The following is a 14,063-nucleotide window of genomic DNA, read 5'->3' on the forward strand; positions in this document are numbered from 1 at the left end:
ACAAATGGTCTTCAGGCAGGAATGATAAATTGTTCTTAACTCTCACGCCAACTTTTTTTTTTTTTTTTTTTTTTTTGACGCAGGGTCTTGCTTTGTCACCCAGGCTGCAGTGCAATGGCACAAACATGGCTCATTGCAGCCTCAACCACCTGGGCTCAAAGTAGCAGGGACGACAGGTGTGTGCCATCATGCCCAGCTAATTTTTACTTTTGTAGAGACAGGGGTCTTGCCATGTTGCCCAGGCTGGTCTAGAACTCCTGGTCTCAGGCGATCTTCCTGCCTCAGCCTTCCAAAGCTCTGGGATTACAGGCATAAGCCCATGCTCCCAGCCTCAGGCCAACTCTTATGCTTCCATAAAAGCTGTCTGGACTAGAGGATAGAGAAGCATCCTGAAGCCTGGTGGAAACAATGACATAAAGAATTAGCAATGTCTCCCCTACAAGGTCATGGTCAGAGGATGTGAACATTGTATCATGTAAGTGTCAGGTGATAAAACTTCGAATATAACTGACATCTTCAGGAAGGTAGGCGTTTCCCGTCTTCCCAAAGATGTCAGTTACATTCGAAGCCCAAACAGTCTAGGCTCCCCAAACCTTACCAGGAAGCTGATTCTAATCTTCAGAGCAGTGCTTCTCCCCAAACCTTACCAGGAAGCTGATTCTAATCTTCAGAGCAGTGCTTCTCCCCAAACCTTACCAGGAAGCTGATTCTAATCTTCAGAGCAGTGCTTCTCCCCAGACCTTACCAGGAAGCTGATTCTAATCTTCAGAGCAGTGCTTCTCCCCAAACCTTACCAGGAAGCTGATTCTAATCTTCAGAGCAGTGCTTCTCCCAATTTTAAATGCTTGCAGATCACCTGAGGCCCTTGCTAAACCACAGATCCCATGGGGCTGGGCCGATTCCAACAAGCTCCCAGTGCACACCAAAAGTCTAGACCACAGACCACAGCATGAGTAGCAAGGTTCTAAAGTTTCAGCTACTTGCCCAGACACCATCTCTGATTAATTGTAGTTCTGCTGCTTGCTAGCACAAAAGGGTAAGATTTACAGTTCTTCTGAGTAAGGAACAATACAGACAGCAATTTTCTACTTACCAAAATGCTTCCATGCCCGTCATTAAGTGAGATAACAAGAAAAATCAGTAAGCTAAAGGAAACACCTATAACAGACTCAGGCTCAATTAGTATTGTGAAGAACTGGCTTATTGCAAGGCTCAATGGCTTCTTTCTCTTTCCCACTTATCTGGTTGATTTTGGCCAACTCTGTACTCCAACATAACCATAGTCTTCCTAAAGATAACGACCCTAATGCAATAGGTAGACACTGGTAAGTAAGTGCATTCTCCTCACATTTCAGGTACTGTGCTAGATCTTATATAACTCTCATTTATTTCTGGGCAGCATTTCTTATCTAAAAATAAAGTTCTATTACTGGAGGCCAAGAATTTGAGGCTGCAGTGCACTATGCTTACACCCATAAATAGCCACTGCAGTCTAGCCCGGGCAACATAGTGAGGCCCCATCTCAAAAGACAGTAACAAAATAAATAAATTAAACAAATAGAAATATAAAATATTTTCTTCTCTCAGATTAGCAAGAACTTCCATAACATCACCAAAAAAGGCACATCTAACAAATGAAACCCCCAAAATTTAGTATTTGGAGGATGCAATAAATAACATCAAATTTTAGTAAGCTCAGTATCTTATTTAATCTGGTGCAAGAAATTCAAAGGCTATCTACTAACGGTAATAGGTAATATGGAGAGACAGAAAAAGTCAGTCATATCACGCAAGAGAGCAAGACTACCTGCGGGGGTCTGTGAAGACAATATTAGGATCTATAATTACACATGGCATTAAGCAGATGGATTACTATCTAATTTTTTTCTAAACTGACACCCACAAAATGGAAAATAGTTTAAATAAAATTCTGCTAAGGAACTATAAAGTGAATATACAATAGTCAAAAACATGTGCACACATGCCAGCAAGCAAAGCTGACACTTCTCCTCTCAGTGTGGGTGGTTCAGGGAGGTATCCGCAGCCCACACAGAGCCAATCAGATTATTTTCCAGTGGTTGTCACCTGGAAACTGGGAGCAATGGAACACTTTCCCCTGGACATGTTCAATAAGGACAAAGTAAATTTAGGGCTTCTGGCAGAATTCTTTCTTTCTAGATGAGTGCAATGTGCAGAATGAAGCAAAACAAAGATAAGCAGTGATGAGAAATAAGGGGACAAAAACGGAAGGAGAGGGAAGGGAAAGAAAACAACAGGGAGAAAATGTGTGTGTTCTGATAGTTCTTAGTCCATCATTTCAATCCCCTAAGGCCCGGGTTCTATTTCTGTACATTCTGTGAGCTGCCCCACAATGCCTCCAAACTACAGAATACAATTCTTCCTTTTCATTTGTGCTAGTTTCAGTTGGCATATTAGCCAAGATAGGCTAGGTTATGATGCAGTAACAATCTCAAAACCTGAGTGGCTTCAAACAGCAAAGGTTACTACTGTCCCTTCATGTTCATATTCTTCGTGCATTAAAAAGGGGCTCTTCTCGGCATTGTGCTCATTCTAGAAACCAGCGGATGGAGAAGCAACTACTGTCATTCTCTACAGCAGAGGAAAAGAGTTTTGGAGAGACTCACAGCAGCCATTAAATGATCTGATACAGAAATAGTAAACATTTCCACTCTGAGAGATACCTGCAAGTGCAGTTCAGCCATGTGCCCAGGAGGTAGAGAGCTCGAATACTTGGTGGTGATCAGCATGTCTCCCACAGTTGGGTTTCTGTCACTTGCAATCAAAAGAATTCTGATTAACATAAGCCATGAAGAGAAATGAGACTAGAAAGACCTGTATTCCAATTGAAAGAGAAAATGGGTTCATGGAGATAGGTAGATAGCAGTAGAAACGCATCTCATATTTGGTAAATGGAAGCCGAGTTCAAAGCTTCAAAAGCTGGAAGTCAGTTTAACTGTTTAACTGTATAAATTGGAATTATTACATGCAACTCCAAAGGCAGGTTCTTAGCATCTGTGATAGCTTTCTAGAAGTGGGACATGCATTTTTAAGGGGAGATGGTATGTGCAAATTTTATCTTATTAAAAGCCAATTATTCCAGTTGTCCAATATATTTAATCTACCCAAGTAGAGTGACCATGGATTACATTCCAATTTGCCCTGGAGAGTGCTGATGAATGACAATTGTTTAAAAATTTATAGCACCCTTTTTCACTCTGAAAGTTTCCCAGTTTGGGTAATAAATTATACTGTCATCCTAACTATAACTCAGGCTTTGTTTCAGAGGATTGATGATCTTGCCTATTCCTACATTTTAAAATTCACCTTCCATTCCTTTCATGGAGGAGCCCTACACTTGAGACAAACTATGCTACTCATGGGAACTTAAATGCACCATTAATTTACACCAGCAGCACTCTGATCATATTTCTCTTTCCTCTGTCTAGAACTCTTTCTTATCATTGTGTTTCTGGTGACTTTCTTCTCTTTATTTAATATTCAACACAATGGTGACCTTTTCTGCCCTCCTGCAAGACATATTTCTTCCTCTGTGCATTCATAATACCTTATATAACTCACAGCCCTTATTGCATTTGTCTAACAATGGACAAGTATTATCATATTATCCTCCCCTAATTCAAACCTTTCAATGGCTTTCCAAGTTTCTTAAAAACAAAACTTTAATGTGGCCTGGAAATGCTGCAAGGTCTTGCCCTTCATCCCTCTCCATTCTCTCTTCCCTTTACGTTTGTACTGCCACCCTTTGTGGGCACCAATCTCCCCTGTCACAAATATTTGCAGAGAAACTCTTCCTTCGTCTGCTTAAACCTTGCTCATTCTTCAAACTTTAGCTAATCAAGACTTCAGGGAAACTTTCTCTGGACTCCCTTCACAGCACTTAAGAATGTGCTTGGCTGCAAGTAAATAAGACATGACTAACAGTGGATTAAGCAAATAGGAATTATTACTATTACATAACAAGAAGTCTGAAAGTGAGGAATTGCAGCATTCTTTGTTTCAGAAAATCAGTAAGGCCAGGAATGATGTTTCTGCTATTCTGTGGGCCTTTTCTTATAATCCTAAGTTGTCTTCTGCAACTCCAGACATCACATCCACATTCAAGGTATAAAGACACGTAGAATAGCACCACCAGCCTGGTTTGCCCCTCTTTTGACCAACATCCTCCAGGAGACTGCAGTTTGTTTTGTTGGTCAGAACTCTGCTATATGGATGCCCTAACCCTATGAAAGTCTGGAAAAGGAAATATTGTTGTATATTTTGCCACCCCAAACAAGATTAGCCTTAATAAGAATAGAAAGTTTTTAAGTAACAGGCTCTTCCAGAATCAAATCCCCTTGTAAATTCCCATAGCACAAACACCTCCTGTCTGTTTCAATTTTTCAGATGTGATGTTACATTTATATTTATTTCTCTTATTAGACTATAAACTCCAAGGGCTCAGAACTAGAAAAATTGTTTTTTGATTGTATTTCCAGAGAAATATGACTTTTGGTAGAGGCTCAATATTTAACTGTTGATGGAATAAATGAGTTAATGCGCTAACATATTTCCTCTTTTCAAGGGTTAAGTGCAAGCACTATTCTCTATGCCCCAGGTTCCAATCATGATGTTAAGTCTCATTAAATTAATGAATTAAATAATTTGATCAAGTTATTTTATCAGAGAACACAAAGCTTTAAAAGAAACTTCTGTTTTCACTCAAAACAAATTATTTACCTCCATACCTAAATACTTTGCATTCTTCTGAAGTTTGGTTTCTTTATTAAAAACAATAACAAGAACCAAAAACTGCATCAAAACTGTACCCAGAGGAGCCAAAAGCTACTGTATTATCATGGGATACGTTATTGGTGATGAATGGCTAACAAATGCAGGACTCAACAGCCAATAGCTAAACTGAGATGGGAAGATCAAAGCCTCTGTAAAGTGAGAGCTTTCTGGGCTCTACTCCCTGAACTGAAGGAAATAAACCAAAACATCTTCATGAAAGCGATTTTACACATTACTGCCTCTAACTTGGTATCATCTGGCTACTCTGTTCGGATTAAAAAAAGAAAAAAAAATCAATGAAGTACTTGGATGAGACTTCAATAGAACACTCAACAGAATATTTTTAAAGCTTTGATTTCCAAAACGGTTATAAACAAAAGTAGTTGGTCTAATCACAATAATTGGACTCTGAACAAGCTATGGCAGACATTCAGCAACCAATTCAATGGGTTAAAGAACCAAACTAGGGATCTCAAATACATGGCACCTGGGCATCTGTCTTTGTGTGTTTGTGCTGCAGTAATAGAATAGCAGACACTGTGTAAATTGTAAAGAGCAGAAATTTATCAGCTCACATTTCTGGAGGCTGGGGAGTTCAAGACCAAGAAGCTGGTATCCGGAAAGGGTCTTATTGTTGCATCATCCCATGGGGGGAAGGCAGGAGAATAAGGAAGTGCATGAGAGAGAGAGAGAGAGAGAGCAGGGAGCTGAACTCACCCTTTTGTAATGGCACTAATTCCACTCATGAGGGCAGAGCTCTCATGGCCTAATCACCTCTTAAAGTTCTCACCTTCCATACTGTTACAATGAAAACCAAATTTCAACAAGTGTTTTAAAGGGAACTAACAAACTGTAGCAACCCCAATTTCCCACTCCTTTGTCCACAGCAGACATCCTGAATTCATTATACAGTCCTTGTCAGGGGTGGAATTCCAGCAGCCAGCACTTGGTCATCAGGATTGGCATAGGAGAACACATTCATAACCCCTTGGGGTTATACACACCCTGAAAGCCTTTCCCACCAATTCAAGGTCACCAGTTCCCTAACTCTGACACACCATGGATGCTCAAAGGATGAGATGATTTAGGAATTACAACAAACCTTCCCCATCTATTCATTGTCATTCCTCTCCATGCTTCTCACATGTTCATCCTCAGTTTGGCAGAGTTTGGTACACCTAGAAAAAAGGCCAGACACCCTAACCCTGGCATTCAAGGCTGTCCACAATCTGGTCTTAGACTATCCCTCTAGCCTTATTTCTCACTGCAGTCTTTCACTTATACTGTGTACAGTGGGTTTAACAGAGATACCCAAAATTCATTTTCTATCCAGAACCTCCAAATATCATTTTATTTGGAAATAGAGTCTTTTTTTAGAGGCAAGGTCTTACTTTGTCACCCAGGCTGGAGGGCAGTGGCACAATCACAGCTCACTGCAGCCTCAACTTTTGGGGCTCAGCTAATTTTTAAAATTTTTATATAGGCAAGAACTCACTATGATGCCTCAAACCCCTGAACCCAAGGGATCCTCCCATCTCAACCTCCCAAAGTGCTGGGATTACAGGCATGAACCACCACACCCAGGCAGAAATAGGGTCTTTGCAGACTGCATTAGTTTGCTAGGACTTTCATAATAATGTAACACAGACTGGGTGCTTTAAACAGAAATATACTTTATCACAGTTCTGGAGGCTGTAAGTCCAAGATCAAAGCGTCAGCAGGGTTGGTTCCTTCTAAGGGGCTCCCTTCTCAGCTTATAGATGGCCATCTTCTGGTGTCTTCAAAGTCTTTTCTATGTGTGTCTGTGTTCTAATCTCTTCTTATAAGGGCATAAGTTATATTGGGTTAGGGTCTACCCCTGTGATCTCATTTCACCCTAAATACCTCTTTCAAGGCCCTATCTCCAAGTACAGTCATGGATCACTTAACTACAGGGTTATATTCTGAGAAATGTGGCATTAGGCAATGTTTTTGTTGTGCAAACATCATAGAGTGTCCTTACACAAACCTAAGTGGTATAGCCTACTACACACCTAGGCCATGTGGTGTAGCCTAGTGCTCCTAAGCTACAAACCTGTGCAGTGTGTTGCTGTACTAAATCCTGCAGGCAATTGTAACACAATGCTAAGTATTTGTGTATCTAAACATAACTAAATGTAGGAAAGGTACAATAAAAATATGGTATTATAATCTTATGCAGCCACAGTCATATATGCGGTCCATCATTGATTGAAATGTCGTTATGCAGCCCATGACTGTACACATTTTGAGGTACAGGGATCAGGACTTCAACATAGGAATTTGAGGGGCTATGACACAAATGCAATGTGTTAAAATCAGGTCATATTGGATTAGGATGGACTCTAAGTCCAATGATTGATGTTCTTATAAGAAAAGGAGAAGAGACTCAGATATGGCTCTCTCCTGGCTTCTGGTGGTCACTGGCGATCCTTGAGGTGCCTTGGCTTGGTGCTACATCACCCTAGCCTCTGCTCCATCGTCATTTGCCTTTCTTCTCCATGTGAGCCACCACACCCAGCTATAGTCTTTTTTTTTTTTTTTTTTTTTGAGACGGAGTCTCACTCTGTCACCCAGGCTGGAGTGCAGTGGCGCGATCTTGGCTCACTGCAAGCTCCGCCTCCCGGATTCACGCCATTCTCCTGCCTCAGCCTCCCAAGTAGCTGGGACTACAGGCGCCCACCACCATGCCAGGCTAATTTTTTATGTTTTTAGTAGAGACGGGGTTTCACCGTGTTAACCAGGATGTATTGTCGGTTATTTTTAAGCCACCCTGTGTATGGTGATTTGTTACAACAGCCCCAGGGAACTAATACATTGGCTTCAGTTCTAGCAACATCACTTATAATAGCCACCATTTATGTAGCACCTGAAACGTGCCTGACACTGGTCCTCTTAGGATAGAGGAAAAAAATTATGTGCTGCAGCAGAGAATCAAAGGAAAGCTGAAAAGGGAAGGAACAAAAGAACATCCAATAAGTCTTATGAAATTTTAAGCCCTAGTAGACTAAATAATAACAAGTATCTAGTATCTGACAAATAATATTCACTTATAAGCCTTTCTATTCAAGGTTGGTTCATGGATTTCAGGTAGAATTCATTTGAAATGTCAAGAAAGATTATGGAAGCAAGGCAGAGAGAAAATCTAAAAAGCCTTTTGAAGGATTTCTGTTATTGCTCAGGTTAATGCTCGTTAAAGAATCCTCAATTTGGGAGATATTAGTTCCTATTATAAGTCATTATCATGAAGCTTCCCATTTGTCAAGGATGTGTGTCGTACTGAAGTAGGATTTGACACTTCAGCTGGAAGCCAGAAGGAGGCTTGGTACCATCCTCACTGCAGAAAATTCCACTAATAGGTCCAGACTCTGTCTAAAGATATCACTCGGGGTGTTATCCAAAGGCCAAACTCAACCCAACAAAGTTGGTGAGTTGCAGGAGTTCATCATCAGTGTTTGGCTCCAGGAGAAGTTTGTTTGTTTGTTTTTGAGATGGAATCTCGCCTCTGTCATCCAGACTGGATAGTGCAATGGCATGATCTTGGCTCACTGCAACCTCCAACTCCCAGGTTAAAGCAATTCTCCTGCCTCAGCCTCCGGAGTAACTGGGATTACAGAAGTACACCACCACACCCAGCTTATTTTTTGTATTTTTAGTAAAGATGGGGTTTCACCATGTTGGCAAACTGGTCTTGAACTCCTGACCTTGGGATCTGCCCACCTCAGATTTCCAAAGTGCTCAGATTACAGGCGTGAGCCACCGCGCCCGGCATAAAGCTTTAATTCTTGTTAAATAACACTGGGATGGGTTAGAGCCAGGGACTCAAGCTCCACCATCATCCCAAATACAAGAGGAATAAAACACTTGCTTCACACACAGTTGGGATAATATGTGAAATATGAATAAGGTTTTAAATTAGATAATGACATTGGGTCATCATAATTGGTAATTGTGCTGTGTTTATGTAAAACCTTTTAGGAAATGCACACTGAGTTATATAGAAGTAACAAAACATCATGTCTGCAACTTGGCCTTAAATAGTTCAGAAAGAAAAAATAATTACATATATGGAGAAAATGATAATGTAATATGGTAAGATACCAATTGGAGAATCTGGGAGAAGGTCATTTTTTATATTATTCTTGCAACTTTTCTGTATCCTTGAAATTATTTCAAAACAATCACCCAAATGAAAACTTTAAAACAGATAAGCAAACTAACCTCATTCAATCTCTCTAGCACAGGGTTTCTCAATCTTGGCACTACTGATATTTAGGATCTGTGGATTCTTTATCAGGAGCTGGAGTGGATTGGGGCCATCCTGTGCATTGTATGAAGCTTAGCAACCTCCCTGGCCTCTGACCACTGGATGCCGGTAGCATGTCCCAATGGTGACAACCAAAAATAGCTCCAGATATTGCCAAATGTCATCTGGGATAGCAAAAATCACCCAGCCAAGAACTACTGCTCTAGCATTTTATTTCCTGACAAGACTAATGGGGGTAACCCCAGTAGTAGTAGTAGGGGATGTTGTGGGAGAAGTGAGCTCATCTTATCTTTATCATACATACACTTCCATTCCTGCAGTTTCATCCACAAGTATCTTACCGAGCTAACCATGAGTGAGTCCAACCCTGTGCTAGATTTTGGAGGTACAGATGAGCAAAAGTCAGAGAGGACTTGTGTCCTCACAAAGCTTATATCTAGATAGGTAAAATATATAATAAGCAAAGAAATAAATACCATTTCTGAAAATATGACAAAATGTCAACAAGAGGTTGACATGGTAAAGGGACATAATAAATTGACAGGATGAAAATGACGAAAGAAAAAACAAGGAGATGAGTGATAAAGTGACTAGGGGAGCAACGTTAGACAGGATATCCAACATCCTAAGAGAGTCCTCTCTCCACTGAAAGAAACAGTGGGAAAGATTGATTTTATAAACCACCAGGTCAAGAGCCCAAGAAAGGAAGGGACACAAAGGAAAGTGGCTTACCCCCAAATCACCCAGCAAGCCAGGGACAGGGCAGGGACTGCAATTTTGATTCCTGTCTCCCAAACCAGAGCCTGGAACATACCAGCCGAGTTCAATGTCAGGAAATGTCAAGGGACTTGGAGTCAGAAGACCTAGACTCGGCACTTACAATCTGATTTCACATAAGAATAAGGTGTTGGGCCCGCACTTCCTCATCTATCAGTGGGAATTAAACCATCACTCACAGAACTGTGAGATAAGATTTGAAGCCAGGGGCAGTGGCTCAGCCCTGTAATCCCAGCACTTATGGGAGCTGGGGGCGGGTGGATTGCTTGATCTGAGAAGTTTAACACCAACCTGGGCAACATAACCAGACCCTGTCTCTACAAAAAAATACAAAAGTTTGCCAGGCATGGTGGCACAGGCCTGTGGTCTCAGCTATTCAAAAGGCTGAGGTGGGAGAGTCGCTGGAGCCCAGGAAGTCAAGGCTGCAATGAGCTGTGATCATGCCACTGCACTAGCCTGAGTGACAGTGAGACCCTGTCTCAAATAAAATAAAGTCAAGATTTGAAAATACAATTTATGAACAAAGTTTCTAGACATGACATCTTTAAAAAAAGTGTTGTTTCCTATAAAACCAACATATCTTGCTACAGAAAATTATAAGTAGAAAAAACATGTTAGGAACTACCCTTCACCTGTCTTTTCATTTATCCAATTACTATTTATTGAGCACATGTATCCAGTACTGTCTAAATAATTCTGCCATCGCCCATAAAAGTTGCAGAGATTACATCAACTGTACTAAAAATTTATGTCCTGCTTTATTTTACTTATAAAATAAGCACTTTTTATCATTTTTATAATGTACTTTCCCTGGTTCCATAATATTCCAATATACAAATCCATTCAGCACATGCATGATTTCCATGTTTTGAATCCATTTATGGTTGAAGTTTTATTTAAACATTCTAAATACAAATGTTTAGTTGGCTTTCAATAGCAGAGGTCAAGAGAAAAAAAAAACAAAAGACACCAGGTGTGGTGGCTCATACCTACAATCCCACACTTTGGAGGCCAAGGTGAGAGGGGATCACTTAATCACTTAAAGCCAAGAGTTCAAGACCAGCCTGGGCAACATTAACAAGACCCTGTGTCTACAAAAAATAAACAAATAAACCAGATGTGGTGGCCCATGCCTGTAGTCCTTGCTATACAAGAGATTGAGGCAGGAGGATCACCTGAGCCCAGGGAATTGAGGCTGAAATGAGCCATGATTCCACCTCTACACTCCAGCCTGGGCTACAGAACAAGACCCTGTCAAAAAAAACAAAATCATTATTTAAATAAGTAAAAATGTTTTTCATTTTTCTAGTTTTGCATATCATGCTGTAATAAGTCTTTATAATTAGTTTTTAAAGGAACATCTGTGTGATTTTTGTGTGTGGTTGACTTTTCAACTTTAGATTTTTCTCCGCTGTTAGACTTCCAGAAGTGAAATTATAGTATCAAAGAATATTTACCACAGACTCTTTGTTTCATGGTGCGAAATTGCTTTCGAAAAGCCTTGTGCAAATTCAACTGGGAATACACTAAACACAGACATATATGACAATGGATATCAGCATTAAATGTTACCAGTAATAGGCTGGGCGTGGCGGCTCACGCCTGTAATCCCAGCACTTTGGGAGGCCGAGGTGGGCGGATCACAAGGGCAAGAGTTCGAGACCATCCTGGCCAACATGGTGAAACCCCATCTCTACTAAAAGTAGCGGGGCATGGTGGGCTACGCCTGTAATCCCAGCTACTCGGGAGGCTTAGGCAGGAGAATGGCTTGAACCTGGGAGGTGGAGGTTGCAGTGAGCCGAGATCGTGCCACTGCACTCCAGCCTGGGAATAGAGCAAGATTCCGTCTCAAAAAAAAAAAAAAAAAAAAAAAACAAAAAAAAAAGTAGTGGCTTATGATTGGTAACTTTTTTTTTTTTTTTTTTTTTTTTGAGACAGTCTTCCTCCGTCGCTGGAGTGCAGTGGCCTGATCTTGGCTCACTGCAACCTCCGCCTCCTGGGTTCAAGCGATTCTCGTGCCTCAGCCTCCCGAAACATACTTTTAAATAAAGTAGGGAGCACAACAATGGAGTTTTAAAAGGTCTCAAGACGAGCCATCAAGGATAGACTCCAAGGGCGGCTAGAGCCCTCAGCCTGGAGGAAGGGTACCTTTACAGCAACCCCTTCTCAAACTTGTTTATGTGTTTGGACATTTCAATGGCCCAGATAGGCAGCGTGTCCGGGCCCGAGGGATGGAATGCTGCCCCGGGGAGCGGCTACAGCGCGGGATCCTGGGGAGATAGCTCAAGGCAGGCCAGGGAAGGACAGGCCGGGCAATGGGCGCGGAGACGAAGGGGCCGGACAGCGGCGAGGCGCTGGCTCCGGTCGCGGCACCCGGCTGCTGAGGGCAGTGCTGCTGCTTGGGACGTTCCAGGCGACCAAGTACCCTCGGCGGCCCTGGCAGGGCGGTGCCTGGGGTGGGCGCTGGGCCTCCAGGCCTGCAGCCACGCTTGGCGCTGTCCGCTAGGGCCAGGTGCTGAAGTGTTGGCCGCGAGCGGAGCTGCTGCAGCGCTGGCTTCCCCGGGCCGCTGCGGGTGGACTTGGACAACATAAAGGGCTGATTGAGCGGGGCCACTTTTTCGCCCGCGTAAAGTGTCCTCCAGCAGCACATGCTCGGCCTCCTGGAAAGGAAAGGGAAGCGGCCTGGCTTCCATCTGCTCCTGGGCACCCAGGTGAGGAGGAACCCAAGGGAACTCACTGCCCCCTTTTAGCCTCGCGCTCCCCAGTGCAGCCGATGACAGGAACTCAGTGACAACCGATGGAATGACCGTCTTGCCTCCCTCTCTGTAATGGGGAAAAAAAGCCAGAGATACCGATCCAGCTTTTTGCCAGGAATCAAAACAACTCATCTGTTGACTTGGTTTCCTCATCTGTAAATTGCTGGCAATATTTAAGAACATCTAGAGGCCGGGGAACAGTGGCTCCCACCTATAACAGCAGCACTCAGGGAGACCAAGGCAGAAGGACCACTTGAGGTCAGGAGGTGGAGGCTGCAGTGAGCCGAGATCTCACCACTGCACTCCAGCCTGGGTGACAGAGCAAGACCCAGTCTCAAAAATAAAAAAACAAAAACATGTAGAAAGTGGAATATTCCTGTTTCATTAAAGTTTTTGTGACCGTTTCGTGAGATAATGTAGGCAGAAAGGCATTACAAAGTTTTTTGCTCATAAGAGGTACTTAGAAAATTAAAATTACCACCAGCTGCAAACTGGTTTCTAAAAACTGGAGATAAAAAACGCCTTCATCATTTTAGAAGCACTTGCTCAAAAATGAAGTATCAGGTGGCTCTGAGAAGAGATGATAAATTTCCCGAGTACTCCAAGAACAATGGGAAGAAAATTAAAATGACAGTAATTTTCCAAGGTGTAGATTTAGCCAGAATGAGCAACCTAAATCAGCCCTATAGTTACCCTTCAAAAAGTGAACACTCTTAATTTATTATTTGTCTTTTAGCATGGTATCATTTGAAGGAAAAATAGAAGGCCAGGTACCATTTAACCTTTTAACAGTATGGCTTTTTCACTTACAAAAACTTACATATTATGATACGTGTTGATTTTTTAGAAAAATTCTAAGTCACGCTGTGTGACGACAATTCAAGTTTATCTGGTGATTTTCTTTGAATATGCACCTATTTTTATCTCACAATAACCATATGATGTAGGTTTTTACTCTCATTTTAGTGATGAGGAAATTAAGGATCAAAGAGATTTGAGCTTGGTGATTTGCTTAAGGCTGCACAGGTTTGAAGCTGCAGGGCCAGGACTGGAGTCCAGATCTGCCTAAGACCACAGACAGTGCTCTTTGGGTTGTGTTTTACCTATTAAAACTAACCATATTACCTAACTAATCTATTAACATTAGTAACACAAGCTGTCATATTTATGTAAGTCTAGAGAGCAGATTCTCAAAGTCAAAGACAAAACATCCCCCCAGAAATCAAGTAACAAGCAAGAGTAACTTGCAAAACAGGTTAAGGTTGCTTATAGCTGTAACTTTCAGAGCTTTCACAGTAATCAAAAACAAACTGCGGTCAAATGAACTGCATAAGTTATTTTGTCCTCATACTACAAATATTAAGTTTCCAGCACATTAAGCCTATTCCAGATTTTTAAACATGCAGCCATTAACAAACACAGGTGATTGAAAG

At 41.8% G+C, this 14,063-nt stretch overlaps 2 annotated features.

Moving 5' to 3' along the window:
• Window positions 851–1,020: an enhancer, noted in NCBI's record as "experimental_45596 CRE fragment used in MPRA reporter constructs". NCBI's record gives its function as "activates a minimal promoter by MPRAs in K562 erythroleukemia cells, with activity observed for both the introgressed and non-introgressed 16:78068601 variant alleles {active_cell/tissue: K562}" and the evidence as "EXISTENCE:reporter gene assay evidence [ECO:0000049][PMID:34662402]".
• Window positions 2,250–2,419: an enhancer, noted in NCBI's record as "experimental_45605 CRE fragment used in MPRA reporter constructs". NCBI's record gives its function as "activates a minimal promoter by MPRAs in K562 erythroleukemia cells, with activity observed for the introgressed 16:78070000 variant allele {active_cell/tissue: K562}" and the evidence as "EXISTENCE:reporter gene assay evidence [ECO:0000049][PMID:34662402]".

Source organism: Homo sapiens, chromosome 16, assembly GCF_000001405.40.
Source record: "Homo sapiens chromosome 16, GRCh38.p14 Primary Assembly".
NCBI lineage: Eukaryota > Metazoa > Chordata > Mammalia > Primates > Hominidae > Homo > Homo sapiens.